Raw genomic sequence first — 5,357 nt, 5'->3', positions numbered from 1 at the left:
CTTCCTGGGAGTGAGGGTTTAACCCAGAGGACTTCCACGTATGACCCCGGCAGTCTTTCAGAAGAGAAGAGCCCCTGTTCCAGTCTCTCTAGAGGGCTCAGATGCAGCACGGCCTAAAAGCTCATCTGTAGGCAGAGGCCCAGAGTGGAAAAATTTCCAGATGCAGGACTCCCCCGTTCCTCTGACCCTCAGGGGAGAGCACACAAAGTCTATGCTCTGGGCCAATGAGGCGGTCTTGTGGGCAAAGGGGAGTGGGAGTAGCAGGGGCTGGGCAGGGGCTGGTAAGGGAACACGGACTCCAAGACAAAATTGCAGTGGTTAAGAGATGCATGAGGACAGAAAGGACCTTACCTGGCATGGCAGCTCAGGTCCCAGTGCCCTCTGCTGACCTCTCACCCCAGCCAAGATCAATGGCTCTACTTTGCCTTGAGAGAGAAAGAGAGAATGGCCTGGCTCTCAGAGAAGGCCTCACCTCTCCCAAGTCTGGCGGGAGCCTGGCTTCAGCTTCCGTCTGTTCTGAGCTATTCCCTGTAGGCGTCTGGAGGGAACACACAGATGGGTCGGGCTGATGGGACTGGCTGAGTTGGGGGAGGGAGGCTCATGGTGTGTGGCTCCCCTCGTGGGGGAGGTCTTGCCATCATGGTCTTCCATACACGAAAGACATGTTTTAAGCTTCTGCCACGTAAAAGGCACTGGGCCTTTCTTGTTCCTCATCCTCCTCTCTGGCCACATCTGACCATTGGTGATACTCTCCTAGAAACCCCTCCTCTGGCAGCAGTCACAACAGGCTCAATCCTAGTTCTCCCACTACCTCTTTGGCAGCTGCTTCTCCACCTTCTCCATCTATATATCCCCAGGATCTCCTTGTTCCCTCTTCTTTCTCTGGACCCCTAAGGCTTTGTTTTAAATTATTTTGTTTCTTTCTTTTTTTTTTTTTGAGACGGAGTCTCTCTCTGTCGCCAGGCTGGAGTGCAGTGGCATGATCTCAGCTCACTGCAACCTCTGCCACCCAGGTTCAAGCGATTCAGCCTCCCGAATAGCTGGGATTACAGGTGCCCACCCCTGCGCCTGATTAATTTTTGTAGTTTTTAGTAGAGATGGGGTTTCGCTATCTTGGCCAGGCTGGTCTTGAACTCCTGACCTCATGATCCACCGGCCTTGGCCTCCCAAAGTGCTGGGATTACAGGCGTGAACCACTGTGCCCGGCCTATTTCGTTTCATTTTTGAAGTGGTACTAAATGACACAGTTAAAAGTTCCAAAGGTAGGCCAGGCGCGGTGGCTCACGCCTGTAATCCCAGCACTTTGGGAGGCTGAGGTGGGTGGATCATGAGGTCAGGAGTTCAAGACTAGCCTGGCCAAGATGGTGAAACCCCCGTCTCTACTAAAAATACAAAAATTAGCTGGGCGTGGTGGTGGGCACCTGTAATCCCAGCTACTCGGGAGACTGAGGCAGGAGAATCGCTTGAACCCAGGAGGTGGAGTTTGCAGTGAGCTGAGATTGTGCCACACTGCACTCCAGCCTGGGCAACAGAGCAAGACTCTGTCTCAAAAAAAAAAAAAAAAATTTCCAAAGGTAGAAAAAGGGCATACAGGCTGGACGCGGTGGCTCAGGCCTGTAATCTCAGCACTTTGGGAGGCTGAGGCAGGCGGATCACCTGAGGTTGGGAGTTTGAGACCAGCCTGACCAACATGGAGAAACCCCATCTCTACCAAAAATACAAAAGTGGCCGGGTGTGGTGGCACATGCCTGTAATCCCAGCTACTCGGGAGGCTGAGGCAGGAGAATCGCTTGAACCCAGGAGGCGGAGGTTACAGTGAGATCGTGCCATTGCACTCCAGCCTGGGCAACAAGAGTGAAACTCCGTCTCAAAAAAGAAAAGAAAAGAAAAGAAAAAGGGCATACAATGAAAAGTCAGCTTCCCATCCTGGTCTTCTACTCACCCAGTTCCCCTTTCCAGAAGCAGCCAGTACCATCTTTTTTTTTTTTTTTTTTTTTTTTGACAGAATCTCACTCTGTTGCCCAGGCTGGAGTACAGTGGCACGATCTCGGCTCACTGCAACCTCCACCTCCTGGGTTCAAACAATTCTCCTGCCTCAGCCTCCCAAGTAGCTGGGATTACAGGCATGTGCCACCATGCCCAGCTAATTTTTGTATTTTTAGTAGAGATGGGGTTTCGTCATGTTGGCCAGGCTGGTCTCGAACTCCTGACCTCAGGTGATCTACCCGCCTCGGCCTCTCAAAGTGCTGGGATTACAGGCATGAGCCATCCTGTGCCTGGCCTGTAACAAACCCTTTTGTGAATCTGATGAAATTCATGAACCCTATTCTCAGACACAGGTATGACTACACAAATACATCAGATTGTATGTACCATTTCACAAGACGCAGACTCCATCAGTAGTCTGGGGTAAGGATCCCAGCCTGTACTGCACCTTCTCCCTTAGTATAATTGTGGATCCCCTTGCAAAATGAAAATACAGGGCTCCTTGTTCGAAGAATTTTAAGAACATAACAGCAGAACATTAAACTAAGCTTAGGGCCCTATGTGACTGCACAGGTCACCTTTTCTCCTTGCTCTTCTACTACTATCTTTATGGTAATTATTCTCAAATCTGTTTCTCTTGTCCCAACTTGTTCTGAATTTCAGATTCAGATTCAACTCTAGAGAGCTGCTGAAACTCTATATAGATGTTCTTCTAGCATCTCAAATTCAGTGTCTCCAAAATGGAGCTCCTTACTCTCACTACCTCCTCTGCCCCTTTACTCCAAGTTCTGCACCATCCTCTCACCACCTACAACTTTTTCCTCTCTTTATACTCATCCACTAAGTTGCCAAGTCCCATTGATTCTGATGCTCAAACCCATGCCTCCTTCCTTTCCCACTGCCACCCCCCTCAGGATGGCCTTTCATTATCCTCTGTATGTATCACTATTAACTGGTCCCTAAACTCAGCTCCTCAGTACTTGCCTCTGCAGCTCCAATCCATACACACCTCTCCCAGCCTCCTCTTCCCAAAAGACCATCCTAATCATGACTTCCACATTCAGATACCTGCAGTGACTCTCCCTGCCTACAGAGTTGGGCACAAACTCTTTTTCCTGGCATTTAAGGTCCTTTACAGTGGGACTCCAAACCTTCTTTTCCATGCTCATCTCTTACCCCTCCTCTTCATGTCCCTGAGGTTTCAACCCAACTGTACAGCCATCTGGTCCCTTAATGGGCCCAGTGTGTTTTCCTGTGTTTTAAAATTTGAGCTGCCTCTGTTCATGGTCTTCAGAATTTAGAACTTGCTTACTCCACTACAGCCATGTAATTTCTCTGGACCTTTCACCACAGCCACTGCACATGGCCCTGCCCATTGTGTCCCCGCATCTTGACTGCTGTCCCCTCTTTCTCTTCCTCCCATCCTTATTGGAAAGGGAGCCTCAGATGCAAAGCTGGATAAAATCATCATTAAGTATCAAGCAGAGCTGGGCGCGGTGGCTCACGCCTATAATCCCAGCACTTTGGAAGGCTGAGGTGGGTGGATCACCTGAAGTCAGCAGTTCAAGACCAGTCTGGTCAACATGGTGAAACTCCATCTCTACTAAAAATACAAAAAATTAGCTGGGCGTGGTGGTGGGTGCCTGTAATCCCAGCTACTCGGGAGGCTGAGGCAGAAGAATCACTTGAACCCGGGGGGTGGAGGTTGCAGTGAGTGGAGATCGCACCATTGCACTCCAGCCTGCGTGACAAGAGCAAGACTCCATCTCAAAAAAAAAAAAAAAGTATCAAGCAGACATGAAATCCCAACTCTACTGCTTACCGGGTAACCTCAGGCAAGTTACTTACACTCTGTTTCTTCTACTGTTAAACAGGTAGTAACACCTTATATAGGTTTTTTTTTTTTGCTTGTTTGTTTTTTGAGATGGAGTCTCACTCTGTCGCCCAGGCTGGAGTGCAGTGGCACGTTCTCAGCTCACTGCAACCTCTGCCTTCTGGGTTCAAGCTATTTTCCTGCCTCAGCCTCCCTAGTAGCTGGGATTACAGGCGCCTGCCACCACGCCCAGCTAATTTTTGCACTTTTTAGTAGAGATGGGGTTTCACCATATTGGCCAGCTTGGTCTCGAACTCCTGACCTTGTGATCCACCCACCTTGGCCTCCCAAAGTGCTGGGATTACAGGTGTGAGCCATGGCGCCCGGCCCTTTTTTTTTTTTTTTTAAAGAGACAAGTTCTCGTTCTATCACCCAGGCTGGAAGGCAGTGATTGCAGCTCACTTCAGCCTTGAACTCCTGGGCTCAAGTAATCCTCCCACTTCCTGAGTAGCTAGGACTACAGGTGCACTGCTTTTTTTTTTTTTTTTTTTTTTTTTTTTTTTGACAGGGTCTTGCTCTGTTGCCCGTGCTGCAGTGCAGTGGTACAATCACAGCTCACTGCAGCCTTAACTTCCTGGCTCAAGGGTTCCTCCCAGCTCAGCCTCTCAAGTAGCTGGGACTATCTGAATGACACCACACCCAGCTAATTTTTTGTAAAGACAGGGTTTTGCCATGTTGCCCAGGCTGGTTTCAAACTTCTGAACTGAAATGATCCTCCTGCCTCAGCCTCCCAAAGTGCTGGGATTACAGGTGTGAGCCACATGCCTGGCCAATTTTTATATTTTTTTTTGTAGAAACTGGCTCTCACTATGTTTCCCAGGCTGGACCTTATATAGTCTTTAAGGAATTAACAGATAAAGTGTATAAAGTCCTAAGGATAGGGCCATTATTCATCTTATTATAAGTACCCATGCTGGGATGGTCCCCTTGGCTCCTCCCCAGCTACAAGGACTCAGGAAGCATTGCAACCCTCTTTCCATCAAGTTCTGGGAGGCTGTGTGGGGTAGAATGGAGGCTGGCCCTCAGGTGCTCAGGTAGCTGTATTGTATGTCTAGGGGTGGTGAGGGGAGCTGCTGCCTCTGCTCCCTTTGTTCAAACTCATGGCTCAGGCAGCAGCAGGCGTGGGCGTCCCCAGGGGAGGCAGTGACAGTTTCAGTACTCACACGGGCTTTGCAGGTGACAGCTGGGGCTGTGGAGCCCTGCCAGAGGAGGCACAGACAGACCCCCATCACGCCACAGCTGATGGGCTTCCCTGGTGGATATGGGCCCCACTTTGAACCAGCCCAAGTCAAAGCTGAGTACCGCTGGGAGCTAAGTGTAGCCTCTAGCCTGTTCCCTGCAGGATAGAGTGGGGGTAAGGAGATGAGGCTCAGAATCTAGAGATTTGGTCCCACTGTGTCACTAATTTACAAATGACTTCTAGGAGGTCCCTGTTCCTCTCCAAGCCTGTTTTCTCATCGGCAAACGCAAGAAGTGGACCTGATTATCTGTAAGGGCC

At 49.8% G+C, this 5,357-nt stretch overlaps 1 annotated feature.

Annotated features, from left to right (window-relative positions):
- Positions 4,767 to 4,866: an enhancer, noted in NCBI's record as "active region_8149". NCBI's record gives its function as "activates an Ori minimal core promoter by ATAC-STARR-seq in GM12878 lymphoblastoid cells {active_cell/tissue: GM12878}" and the evidence as "EXISTENCE:reporter gene assay evidence [ECO:0000049][PMID:35858748]".

The sequence above is a fragment of the Homo sapiens genome, chromosome 14 (genome assembly GCF_000001405.40).
Source record: "Homo sapiens chromosome 14, GRCh38.p14 Primary Assembly".
NCBI lineage: Eukaryota > Metazoa > Chordata > Mammalia > Primates > Hominidae > Homo > Homo sapiens.
The sequence above is the reverse complement of the archived record's forward strand: the minus strand, read 5'-3'. Positions and strand labels throughout refer to the sequence as shown.